Below are 14687 nucleotides of genomic sequence, written 5' to 3' on the forward strand. Positions count from 1 at the left end.
AGACAGCAATGTAAAATAAGCACATCATGAAGAATGGGGTATCCATCTCCTCAAGCATTTATCCTTTGAGTTACAAACAATCCAATTACATTCTTTATTTTAAAATATACAATTAAAGTATTACTGACTATAGTCACCCAATTGTGCTATCAAATAGTAGGTCTTATTCATTCTTTCTCTATTTTTTGTACCCATTAACCATTCCCACCTCCCCATAAACCTGCTACTATCCTTCCCAGCCTCTGGGAGCCATCCTTCTACTCTTATCTCCATGAGTTCAACTGATTTGATTTTTAGATCCTACAAATAAGTGAGAACATGTGATGTTTGTCTTTCTGTGCCTGGCATATTTTACTTAACATAATGATCTACAGTTCCATCCATGTTGTTGCATATGACTGGATCTTATTCTTTCTTACGGTTGAATAATACTCTATTGAGTAAATGTATACTTTATTAATTCATCTGTTGATGGACGCTAAGTCCAAATCTTAGCTACTGTAAACAGTGCTGCAACAAATGTAGAAGTGTAGATATCTCTTTGACATACTGTTAGCCTTTCTTTTGGGTATATACTCAGCAGTGGGATTGCTGGATCATATGGTAACTCTTATTTTTAGTTTTCTGAGGAACCTCCACACTGTTCTCCACAGTGGTTGTACTAATTTACATTCCCAGAAACAGTGTGCAAGGGTTCCCTCTTCTCCACATCCTTACCAGCATTTGTTATTTCTTGTCTTTTGGATAAAAGCCATTTTAACTACGGTGAGACAATAATCACATTGTAGTTTTGATCTGCATTTCTCTGATGATCAATGATGTTGAGCACATTTTCATATGCCAGTCTGCCATTTGTAAGTCTTCTTTTGAAAAATGTCTATTCAATCTTTTGCCCATATTTTGATCAGATTATTAGATATTTTCCTATAGAGTTGTTTGAAGCTCCTTATATATTCTGGTTATTAATCCCTTATCAGAGGGGCAGTTTGTAAATATTTTCTCCCATTCTGTGGGTTGTCTCTTCACTTTGCTGTTTGTATTCTTTGCTGTGCAGAAGCTTTTTAACTTGATGTGATCCCAGTTGTCCACATTTACTTTGGTTACCTGTGCTTGAGGGGTAGTGCTCAAGAAGTCTTTGCCCTGACCCATGTACTGGAGACTTTCCCCAATGTTTTCCTGTAGTAGTTTCATAATTTGAGGTCTTAGATTTAAGTCTTCAATACATTTTGGTTTGGTTTTTGTATATGGTGAGAGATAGGGAACTAGTTTCACTCTTTTGCATATAGATACCCAGTTTCTCCAGTACTATTTATTAAAGAGACTATCTTTCCCCAGTGTTATGTTTTTGACACCTCTGTCAAAAATGAGTTCACTGTAGGTGTATGGATTTGTTTCTGGGTTCTCTGATTCTGTTCCACTGGTCTATGTGTCTGCAGAAGGGAACCTTTTAGATGCTGCAAGTATTTTGTATTTCAGTGAGTGGTGGTTATATGGTTATATACAAATGTCAATAGTCATTGAAGTGTATTCATAAGAGGAGTGTAGTTTGCTTTAGACACTTTAGTATACAAAGACTAGCTAAGGCAATCTTCAAAAAGAAGAATAAACTTGGAGGCTTAAACTACCAGATAGCAAAACTTAAGCTACAGTAATTAAGAAAGTATAATATTTATGCAAGGATGGACAAACAGACCCAAGAAACAGAACAGAATCTAGAAAAAAGTTCCACATGCCTACATGTGCCCTAGCAGGCACTTAATTTATGACAAAATAAACACTATGAAGCAATGGGAATAAGTCTTTTCAACAAATCGTATTGTTTAATTAGAGATTATATATGAATAAAACAAATTTTATCCCTACTTTATACTATATATAAAAATTAAATCCAGGTGGACTATAAATCAAAATGTAAAAGGTAAAAAAAATGCTTCTTGAAGATTATGTAGAATGATATTTTCATAACTGGTGTAAGCAAAGATTTCTTTAAAATGAAAAAAAAACAAGCAGTAGGCACAAAGGAAAATATTAATAAATCAAACTACATTACTAAGTCAGATTGTGTTAAAAATAACTTGCTCATCAAAAGAACAAGAATCGCTAATGGATTAAAAATGTAAGCCACAGAGTGGGACAAGATACTTGAAACATATAACTGGCAAATGGCTTGTAATGAGAAAATGTAGGGAATTCCTACAAATTAATAAGAACAGAACAAACAACCCAATGGAAAAACGGGCAAAAGACAGGCACTTCACAAGGAGAAGGAAGAGTGTATCTAAAGGACCTGGAAAGATAATCCCTAAACAGCCAATACACACATACTAGGAAGCACAGTCAATCAATTTGAAAAAGAGCAGTTGAAACTGGAAAGGGGTTTGTTCATTTCAATAGCAGGTAAATTCAAAAGTTGTACAATAGAGTCTGAAGACGGTAGATTAGTCCTGGTAGCCCATAAGAACTACAGAAACTGACCACCCAGGGTTCCTGTGCAGGATAAAACCCAAGACACTAGGAAAAACTATAGGGAATAGAATAAAACTTGAGCAGGACAAAAATAAAAATATCAGGAAAAAAATGGACTAGCAAAAGTGAAATGGAACAGAGACAGAATACCCTAGAAAGCAAGTCACCACACTTTGAACACTACATACGGAAGCTCTTTGAAGTTAAAATGTTGTCCTGAATCAATCTTCCTTCTAAGAGATAAGAAAAAAAAAATTTTTTTAATTTAAATTCAATTAAAAATGAACAAAGAAAAGGATCAAGGTCAAATATTTTACCAAGTTCTTGTTTAAATAATAATAGGCAAAAGAAGAAAATTCCTACAATGACAGCAGCCAAAAAACATGTTAGCAAAATAGAGCAAAATTATAATCTATTGAAAAATTAAGGAAGTAATACAAGAAACTGAAGAACTACATTAATCAAAATTAGAAAAACATAGATGTAAGATGATATAAATCAGGAAAAAAGTAAAAACAGAGAAAAAAGTCAGTTCAATCTTTTTTTTTTTTAAGAGATAGGGTCTCACTCTGTAACCCAGGCTGGAGTACAGTAGCATAATCATAGCTCACTGTACCCTCAAACTCCTGGGCTCAAGTGATCCTCTGACCTCAGCCTTCTGAGCAGCTGGGACTATAGGCATGTACCATCACAACTGACTAATTTTTAATTTTTTTTGTAGAGATGGGGGTCTCACTATGTTGCCCAGGCTGATCTTCAACTCCCAGCCTCAAGCAATTCTCCAGCCTACGCTTCCCAAAGTGCTGGGATTATATTTATGAGCTACCACACACCCAATCAGAAATCATTTCATAACTGAATATGAATTAAAATAAACAGGAGAGGAAATAATACGACAGATATAATGCCTTAAAATACAAGAAAATGAGAATATTTTAATCAAAAAGAAACCAAAGAATTTTAAATAGCACAGAAAGTAAACACTAAACAGGCAAAATGATCCAAAATACTATAATAGTAGTTCCTAATTAAGAAAATTGAGGCAAAAAAAAAAAAAAAAGAAAATGAATACTACAAACTATCGTTCAGGAAACTTTGCTGAAATGGATACATTATTGCTGTTTTCTATAATAAGACTTATAGAATATATACAACGAATTTAAAGAAAAACAACCTAATTTTATAACCAATTAAAAATGACATAATTTTGATATAAGTAAAAACCAAATTTTAAAAGTTAAGACACTGATATTTACATATACAGGTGACCCTTAAACAACATGGGGGCTAGGGCCATCAAACCCACACACTGTTGAAAACCTCCATATAACTTTTTTTTAACTTAGAGGGTACATGTGCAGGTTTGTTACATGGATAAAAACTGCATGATGCTGAGGTATGGGTTTCTATTAATCATAATTCCATTGCCCAGGTAGTGCACATAGCACCTGTGACAGCTATTAATAGCTTTTCAACCCTTTCCCCTTTCCTTCCCTTCACCTTTTTGAAATCTCCAGTGTTTATTGTTCCCATCTTTGTGTCCATGTATACCCAGTGTTTAGCTCCTACTTGTAAGAGAGAACACACTGTATTTGGTTTTCTGCTTTTGCATTAATTCACTTAGGATAATGGCCTCCAGCTGCATCCATGCTGCTGCAAAAGACATGATTTTATTCTTTCTTGTAGCTCCATGCATATGGAACCATATGCATCTGGCTCCCTAAAAACTTAACTACTAATAGCCTACCACTGACCCAAAGCCTTAATAATAACATAAAAACAGGCCGGGCACAGTGGCTTATGCCTGTAATCCCAGCACTTTGGGAGACTGAGCCAGGCAGATCACCTGAAGTCAGGAATTCGAGACCAGCCTGACCAACATGGAGAAACCCCGTCTCTACCAAAAATACAAAAATAGCTGGGCGTGGTGGCACATGCCTGTAATTCCAGCTACTCTGAAGCCTGAGGCAGGAGAATCGCTGAACCCAGGAGGTGGATGTTGCGGTGAGCTGAGATCATGCCATTGCACTCCAGCCTGGGCAACAAGAGCGAAACTCCGTCTCTAATAATAATAATAACATAAAAACATAGTCAACATGTTTTGTGCATTGCACATATATTATATTAAGAAACTAGGGAAAAACATTAATAAGAAAATCATAAGGGAGAGAAAATATGTTTACTATTTATTAAGTGGAAATATGTATGAACATAAACATATTCATCATGAAGTTCTTCATCCTTGTCTTCACATTGAGCAGGCTGAGGTAAAGGAGGAAGAAGTGGGGGTTGGTCTTGCTGTCTCAGGAGCGGCAGAGACAGAAGAAAATGGATCCAAACAGTTCAAATTCACTTAGTTCACGGTCAACTGTATAGGTGTATATATGTGTGTGTGTGTGTGTGTGTGTGTGTGTGTGTGTATATGTATATATATGTGTGTATATATATGTGTATATATATGTGTGTATATATATATACACGTGTGTGTGTGTGTGTGTGTGTTTGTGTGTGTGTGTGACAGATCTATTTAATAGATCTATTTGATGTAACTATTTTGGAAGACTAGAGTCTATCAAAGGTTTGCAACTTCCAGGGGAAGGCTTCAACTATAAACCGTGATCAATTTCAGTCAATTTCAGCTCTTAGTACAATAACAGCTACCCAACCCTCAAACTCCAACCCACTGCAGGCAGATAAGTACTTTTTTTAGGAGCAACCTGCACACAGGTTTGCCAGGATGGGCAAAAAAAAAAAAATCCTGTCCTCCAAATATTGGAGATTTATACTCTGCTCCCCAATAACAGAGATGCAGATAAAGAGCCTTATGGCCATGTTGTTGCACCTCACCCCATTGTTGCAAGCCCCTCCCAAGGACCAGAATTCTTCTTCCCTCTTTTATTTTTCTTTTTCCCTTTTTGGGAGCCTTAAAGAATAAGACATTGAAAAACAACTGCATATACAGAGAAAATTATAAAGTGACCATACATGCTCAGGGGAAGGCTCCGAAAATACTTAAGGAGACATTACATTTATACTTTAGGCTGATCTTCAACACAAAGACAGCCCATAACAATGAAAAAATCGAAAACAATAACAAAAAACTAGGGAAACAGGAAAAACTAGAGAAGACAAAAAATCTGGATTCCAGAGTTACCACATCATCAGAATCAAATGCCCAGTTTTCAACAAAAAATAATCATAAGGGATAAAAGAAACAAGAAATATGCTGCAGTCAAAGGAAGAAAATAAATCGGCAGAAACTACCTGTGGAAAAGACCTTATGGCAGATACACTAGAAAAAGACTTTAAAATCACTGTCAAAGAGATGCTCAAAAAGAAAAGAAAGATGAAGAGAAGGTCAGAGAAACAATGTATGAACAAAATGGAAATATCAATAAAAATATTTAAAAGGAACCAAAAGAAAATGTTGCAGCTGAAACATACAATAACTAAAATGAAAAATTTACTAGATTGACTCAAAAGAGGATTTCCCCAGGAAGAAGAATGAATCAGTGAACTTGAAGATAGGACAGTACAAATTATTGAGTCTGAGTAACAGAAAGAAAAATAATTGAAGAAAAGTGAGCAGCCTAAGGAATGTGTAGGACACCATCAAAAGGACCAATGGACACACTGGGGAAATCCATGAAGGAGGAAAGAGAGAGAAAGGAGCAAAGAATATATTTAAAGAAACAATGGCTGAAAACTTCTCAAATTTGATGAATGAAATAAATGTAAATATTCAAGAAGCTCAACAAACTCCAAGAAAGATGAATATAAAAGTACCACAATGAGACACATTATAAATTTCTAAAGACAAAGTGAGAATCTTGAAAATAGCACAAAAGACAAGCCACACATCACTTACAAAAGGTCTTCAAAAAGATTATTAGCAGATATCGCATCAGAAACTGGAGGTCAGAAGGCAGTAGGCTCGTATATACAAAATATTTAAAGAAAAAACTAACAAGAATTCTATATCAAGCAAAACTCTCCTTCAAAACTGAAGGAGAAACTATGATGTCCCCCGATAAATAAAAACTGACAAAGTTTATTACCACTAGACCTGTCCTGCAAGAAATGTTTAAGAGAGTCCTAAAGGGTGAAATGAAAGGACCCTAGACAGTAACACAAAGTCATACAAAGAAATAAAGATCTCAATAAAGGTAAATATGCGGGAAGTTATAAAAGCTAGTATTACTATAACAATGGGTTGTAACTCCACATTTTTGTTTGCAATGTATTTTCAAATACTAGTATATTTTTTCAATTATTAGTTTATGTTTTGGAGCACACAAAGTATAAACATGTAATTAGTGTTACAACATAGGTGTGTTAAATGTAATCCTCATGGTAACCACAATGAAAACAGACACAGAATACACACAAAAGGAAATGAGACAGAAACTTAAACAATTCATTACCAAAAATAGCAACTAAACACAAAAGAAGACAGTAATGCAGAAAATGAGTGACAAAAAAGTTGTAAGGCATATAGAAAACCAATAGCAAAATGAAATAAGTCTCTATCAGTAATTACTTTAAATGTAAATGAATTAAAGCATCTCAGCAAAAGACAAAGAATGGTAGAATGGATAAAAACATATGACCTGGGGATATGCTGTCTACAAGGCGCTCATTTTAGGTCTAAAGATGCACACATTTTAAAAGTGAAAGGATGGGAAAAGATATTCCATGCAAAAAGTAACTAAAAGAGAGCAGGGGTGGTTATACTAATATCAGACAAAATAGACTTAAAATCAAAAAAGATTACAAGCAAAAAAGAGCATTACATATTAATAAAAGGTTCAATGTGGCAAAAAGATGTAACAATTGTAAACATTTATACATCTATAAAGAGATCATAAAAATACATGAAACAAAAACTGACAGAATTGAAGAGAGAAACAAATGGTTCTACAATAATAGTAAGACATCAATAACCACTCTAAATAATGGTTAAAACAACCACACAGAAGTTAAGAAAGAAAACAGAGAACCTAAAAAAACACACACACAATAAACCAAATAGCTCTAACAGATATTTACCAAACACTCTACCCACCCACAACAACACACATATTTTTCTCAAGTATATATGGGGTATATATGGGGCATTTTCTAGGATAGACCATATGGTAGACCACAAATTAAATTTTAATAGATTTAGGAAGATGGATATACAAAGTATATTCTCTAACCACAATGGGATAAGGATCAACAACAGAAGTAAACTTGGAAAATTCACCAATTTATGGAAATAAAACAACACACTCTTAAATAATCAATGGATTAAAGAAGAAATCATGAAGGAAATTAGAAAATACTTGGAGATAAATAAAAATGAAAATACAATACCAAAACTTATGGGATACAGGGAAAGCAGTACTAAGAGAGAAATCTACAGCTATCAATGCTTACATTAAAAAATAAGAAAGGGCAGGGTGTAGCGACTCACGCATGTAATCCCAGCACTTTGGGAGGCCAAGGTGGGTGGATTGTTTGAGTTCACGAGCTCGAGACAGCCTGGGCAACATGGTGAAACACTGTCTCTACAAAAAATATGAAAATTAGCTGGGCATGGTGGTGCATGCCTGTAGCCCCAGCTATGTGGGAGCCTGAGGTGGGAGAATGGCTTAAGCCTGGGAGGCAGAGGCTGCAGTGAGCTGAGAACACACCACTGCACTCCAGCCTGGGCAATAGAGCCAGACCTTGTCTCAAAAATAAATAAATAAATAATAAAAAAGACCTCAAATCAACAAACTAACTTTACAATTTAAGGACCTAGAAAAGCATAAAACTCCTAAAAATATATAGAACAAAGGCTTCAGGACACTGGATTTAGCAATGATTTCTTGGATAACACAACCAAGGCAAAAGCAATTTAAAAAAATACACAAATAGGACTCCATGAAAATGTTAAAATTTCGTGCATAAAAAGGCAGTTATCAATGCAGTAAAAAGGCAATCCAAACAATGGGAGAAAACATTTGCAAATAATATATCTGATAAAAAATTACAATCTAGAATACACAGAAAATTCCTAAAACGAAACCAAAAAAAAATTCAAAAATGGGTAAAATACTTAAATAGACATTTCTCCATAGAGGATACATAAATGGCTAATAAGCACAAGAAAAGATGCTCAAGATCACTAATAATTAGGAAAATGCAAATTACAACTAAAATGAGATACCATCTCACACTCATTGAAAGGGCTATCAAAACAACAGAAAACAACAAGTGTTGGTGAGGATGTGAAGAAATTGGAATCCTTGTGCAGTTGAAGAAAATGTAAAATGATACAGCTACAATGGAACAGTATGGTAATTTCTGAAAAAAATTAAAAGTATAATTACCATATGATCCAGCAATTCCACATCTGGATATATATTCAAAAGCATGGAAAGTAGGATCACAAACAGATATCTGTACTCCCATGTTCATAGCAGCATTAGTCACAATAACTAAAACGTGGAAGCAACCCAAGTGTCTATCAACACATGAAGTGATAGGCTAAATGTGATGTATGCATACAATGGAATATCATTCATCTTTAAAAAGAAATGAAATTCTGACACGTTACAACATGGATGAACCTAGAAAACATTACGCTATGTAAAATAAGCCAGTTTTTTAAAAAACACATAAATACAGCATGATTGTGCTTATCTGAGATACTCAGAGTACTCAAAATCATAGAGACAGAAAACAGAATGGTAGTTGCAAGAGACTGCAGGGAGGGGAAAATGGGTGTTATTGTTTAATGGGTATAGTTTCAGTTTTACAAGATGAAAAGAGTTATGGAGCTGCATGGTGGTAATGGGTGCACAACATTATAAATGTATTTAATACCACTAAACTGTATACTTAAAATGATTAAGATAGTAAATTTCATTATGTATGTTTTACTGTAATAAAAATTACTTCAAGGAGAAAGACTATAAATTATTTAAAGAAAAGCTTTATGGAGAACTAATGCTGCTGGAACACAAATATTAAGTTAATGTAAACTACATCTACTGGAACATACAATATAATCTTATTTTGTAACTGTCTACTATCTTATAGCTAAAAATAATTTTCCTTCTTCTTCTGTAAAACTTCTCATTTTCACATGTACTTTTACTGTGAGTTACAAATTAAATGTACTATGATACTCCAGAAATATTATAGCAAAATAGTAAATCAAAAGGCTATAGGAAATAACTTACGTGCCAGACTACTATTAAACCTCTGTACCAGCACAAACAGCTGCTATAATAATTTTTTCTGAATACCTATTTACCTCCCCAAACTATAAAGATAAATTGGTTTGAATATATTTGTTATATAAATCCTTAGTCCTACAAGCTCTCCTGAGGACTGAGCCAGAAATATTCTCATGCACAGACTTAGAGGAATTTATTCTTAGCCTCAAAACTTCACCTGAAATCAGTTTAAAGGGGCTTCAAAAAAGACTTTACCTGATATTCCAGATATCAGGTAAGAACTAATTCCTAGAAACTGAGAAGCAGGAGCTCTAATAAAACTGCTATTTTAGCTCCCTATAGGGAAGAGAAATCAACAGAAACACCCAGTAACATACTGCAATATAAATAAATATCATATCTTCTCTTTATCCAAGTGGTGGAAAAAGGAGACCGAAACAGCTATTCTATTATAAATTTTCAAATACAAAATACATTTCCTAATCACAAGATTGTAACACTACAAACAGGTGTCTTTAAATAGGACAGTTCCAACAGTCATAAAAATGGTAATGAGAGGCAGTTATATGAAGCATTTTATGATATTTTGTTTAACTCCTTGGATATCAAACGCATAGTAGGTGCCAGGCACTATGCACTAGAGATACAGCAGTGAAAGAAAAAAAAAAAAAAAAAAACAGGAAAAATCTCTACTCCTATAAAACTGTTATTCTAGTGAGATAAAAAATTTAAAAATAAATAATATGTCAGTGCTAGAAAGAAAAACAGTAGAACCATTCATTCCATTTGCCCTGAGTGGTACCTTTTCACACATTTTGTTTTGGCAAAAATATTATTAGCATACCCCTTTACTCTCAAAACATACTGGTGTACAAGATACAGATCTAAAGATAATAGAACAGAATTGAGACATTGACCAAAGAGGGGTGCTGTTTTATATATGTTGGTAAGAGAAGGCCTCTCTGATTATGACAAATCTGAGGAGTGACTGGAAATAAGTGAGAGAGCAAGCCATATACACATCTGGAGGAAGAGCTTTTCAGGCAGTACATTTGTGGCAGTATAGTGAGAGAACATCTGTGGTGCACTTACGGGGGTGTGTGTGTGTGTGTGTCTGTAGATGAAAATCTGCAAACCTTCAGTGAAAGAAGATGAAAATCCAGTTTCAACAGAAACTCTATGAAATAGAAAACTTTTTCATTCTCTTTCTTGCCTAAAAGTGGTTCCCAGGGTATACATTAGGCATAACTTATTTTGTTCTGGTAGATTCCAGAATTAAAACCATTTCCTTGAAGAGGAAACCTTCTCTATGAATGTAAAATTGCCCTATTATGGCTTTTAATATCATGGGCATTTAATATAATTGTATTAATTTATGTAATATAATTATATAACTAATTTATTAAATTATAATACATATAGTTAATATATATCTCCCTAGAGCCTGAGGTGATTCTGGGTCCCTGGAGATTCCTTAGAGGGGCATATAGGGTATGAAATAGAATTGGAAAGTTCTATAATAATACTAATGTACTGACACTAATAATACATCACCAATAATAATAAACAAGGAACATTTTAAGTAATTAGTATGTCCAAGTGAGAGGTGAAGCCAGCTGGACTCCCTGGGTCAAGTGGGGACTTGGAGAACTTTTGTGTCTAACTAAAGGATTGTAAATGCACCAAGCAGCACTCTGTAAAAACGCACCAATCAGCGCTGTGTCTAGCTAAAGGATTGTAAATGCACCAATCAGCACTCTGTAAAGACACACCAATCAGCACTCTGTCTAGCTAAAGGACTGCGAATGCACCAATCAGCACTCTAAAATCGCACCAATCAGCACTCTGTGTCTAGCTAAAGGATTGTGAATGCACCAATCAGCACTCTGTAAAAATGCACCAATCAGCACTCTTGGTCTAGCTAAAGCATTGTAAACACACCAATCAGCACTCTGTAAAAACACACCGCTCAGTGCTCTGCATCTAGCTGAAGGATTGTGAATGCATCAAGCAGCACTCTGTAAAAACGCACCAATCAGCACTCTGGGTCTAGCTAAAGGATCGTAAATGCACCAATCAGCACTCTGTAAAAACGCACCGAGAGTTCCAAGCCCACGGCCCCGGTCGCGGCCTCGCCGCCCTCCCGCGCCCCGCACCGGGAGCGGGCCTAGAGCACTCGCCTCGCCCCTCCGCGAGCAGGGCTCTGGCGCCCGCCCCTGTCCGCACCGCTGGCAGCCTGAAGAGAGTCGCTGGCCATGGTCGCTGCTAGGTAGGATATATCTGCATCTTGAAAGGAAGATAAAACAAAAGCCTTCTTTGGAATAGATGGATTTTTGTCACTTTCTGTGTGAACTAAAGTGATTCAATGTCTCTTTTGGATTGCTTCTGCACTTCAAGAACACAAGATGAATCACTCAGACCTGAAAAACAGTCTGAAACCAGTATCCATCAATACTTGGTTGATGAGCCAACCCTTTCCTGGTCACCTCCATCCACTAGAGCCAGTGAAGTACTATGTTCCACCAACGTTTCTCACTACGAGCTCCAAGTAGAAACAGGAAGAGGATTTGACAACTTGACTTCTGTCCATCTTGCATGGCATACTCCCACGGGAACACTGGTAACTATAAAAATTACAAATCTGGAAAACTGCAATGAAGAACGCCTGAAAGCTTTACAGAAAGCCGTGATTCTATCCCACTTTTTCCGGCATCCCAATATTACAACTTACTGGACAGTTTTCACTGTTGGCAGCTGGCTTTGGGTTATTTCTCCATTTATGGCCTATGGTTCAGCAAGTCAACTCTTGAGGACCTGTTTTCCTGAAGGAATGAGTGAAACTTTAATAAGAAACATTATCTTTGGAGCTGTGAGAGGGTTGAACTATCTGTACCAAAATGGCTGTATTCACAGGAGTATTAAAGCCAGCCATATCCTCATTTCTGGTGATGGCCTAGTGACCCTCTCTGGCCTGTCCCATCTGCATAGTTTGGTTAAGCATGGACAGAGGCATAGGGCTGTGTATGATTTCCCACAGTTCAGCACATCAGTGCAGCCGTGGCTGAGTCCAGAACTACTGAGACAGGATTTACATGGGTATAATGTGAAGTCAGATATTTACAGTGTTGGGATTACAGCATGTGAATTAGCCAGTGGGCAGGTGCCTTTCCAGGACATGCATAGAACTCAGATGCTGTTACAGAAACTGAAAGGTCCTCCTTATAGCCCATTGGATATCAGTATTTTCCCTCAATCAGAATCCAGAATGAAAAATTCCCGGTCAGGTGTAGACTCTGGAATTGGAGAAAGTGTGCTTGTCTCCAGTGGAACTCACACAGTAAATAGTGACCGATTACACACACCATCCTCAAAAACTTTCTCTCCTGCCTTCTTTAGCTTGGTACAGCTCTGTTTGCAACAAGATCCTGAGAAAAGGCCATCAGCAAGCAGTTTATTGTCCCATGTTTTCTTCAAACAGATGAAAGAAGAAAGCCAGGATTCAATACTTTCACGGTTGCCTCCTGCTTATAACAAGCCATCAATACCATTGCCTCCAGTGTTACCTTGGACTGAGCCAGAATGTGATTTTCCTGATGAAAAAGACTCATACTTGGAATTCTAGGGCTGCCAAATCATTTCATGTCCTATATACTTGACACTTTCTCCTTGCTGCTTTTTCTTCTGTATTTCTAGGTACAAATACGAGAATTATACTTGAAAATACAGTTGGTGCACTGGAGAATCTATTATTTAAAACCACTCTGTTCAAAGGGGCACCAGTTTGTAGTCCCTCTGTTTTGCACAGAGTACTATGACAAGGAAACATCAGAATTACCAATCTAGCTAGTGTCATTTATTCTGGAATTTTTTTCTAAGCTGTGACTAACTCTTTTTATCTCTCAATATAATTTTTGAGCCAGTTAATTTTTTTCAGTATTTTGCTGTTCCTTGGGAATGAGCCCTCAGAGGACAGTGCTTCCAAGTACATCTTCTTCTCCCAGATTCTCTGGCCTTTTTAATGAGCTATTGTTAAACCAACAGGCTAGTTTATCTTACATCAGACCCTTTTCTGGTAGAGGGAAAATGTTTGTGCTTTCCTTTTTTCTTCTGTTAATACTTATGGTAACACCTAACTGAGCCTCACTCACATTAAATGATTCACTTGAAATATATACAGAAATTGTAATTTGCTTTTTTTTAAAAAAGGGGGCTAAAGTAACACTTTCCTACTTTGTAAATTATAGATCTTAAATTCATGCACCCCGTGGGAGCTCAATAAAGATATACTGAATTGAGAAAAAAAAAAAAACACACCAATCAGCGCTCTGTGTCTAGCTAAAGGTTTGTAAACACACCAATCAGCACTCTGTAAAATGGACCAATCAGTGCTCTGTAAAATGGACCAATCAGAAGGATGTGGGCGGGGACAAATAAAGGAACAAAAGGTGGCCACCCCAGCCAGCAGCGGCAACCCGCTCAGGTCCCCTTCCACGCTGTGGAAGCTTTGTTCTTTTGCTCTTCACAATAAATCTTGCTGCTGCTCACTCTTTGGGTCCATGCCACCTTTAAGAGCTGTAACACTCCCCGCAAAGGTCCACAGCTTCATTCTTGAAGTCAGCAAGACCAAGAACCCACCAGAAGGAACCAACTCTGGACACATCTTGGCAACCACAAAGGGACCATCGCCAAGCAGTGAGTACCATCGGACCCCTTTTGCTTACTATTCTGTCCTATTTTTCCTTAGAATTTGGGGGCTAAATACCAGGCACCTGTTGGCCAGTTAAAAGCGACTAGCGCAGCCGCCGGACTAAAGACCCAGTTGTCAGGCTTTCTGGGAAAGAGCTTTCTAACAACCCCCAACTCTTCAAAGTTGGCAGCACTGGTTTGCTTGGAACCAGCTTCCGCTTTTCCTGTACTTCCAGGCTGAGCCGACGGTCAACAGAGAGGAAAGACATTCAGCTCCAGGGTCCTGACAAAAAGTTGGTTGGCCCTGTAGCCATGATCGGAACT

General features: G+C 36.6%; 1 protein-coding gene and 1 pseudogene across 18 annotated transcripts in view; one reads left to right on the plus strand and one right to left on the minus strand.

Annotated features, from left to right (window-relative positions):
• SPATA6 (spermatogenesis associated 6) overlaps positions 1-14687 on the minus strand; it is a 210816-nt gene that overhangs the window by 162536 nt on the left and 33593 nt on the right. The gene's annotated exons all lie outside the window — the stretch shown is intronic.
• LOC644462 (STE20 related adaptor beta pseudogene) lies at positions 11778-13972 on the plus strand (annotated as a pseudogene).

This window comes from Homo sapiens, chromosome 1 (genome assembly GCF_000001405.40).
Source record: "Homo sapiens chromosome 1, GRCh38.p14 Primary Assembly".
NCBI lineage: Eukaryota > Metazoa > Chordata > Mammalia > Primates > Hominidae > Homo > Homo sapiens.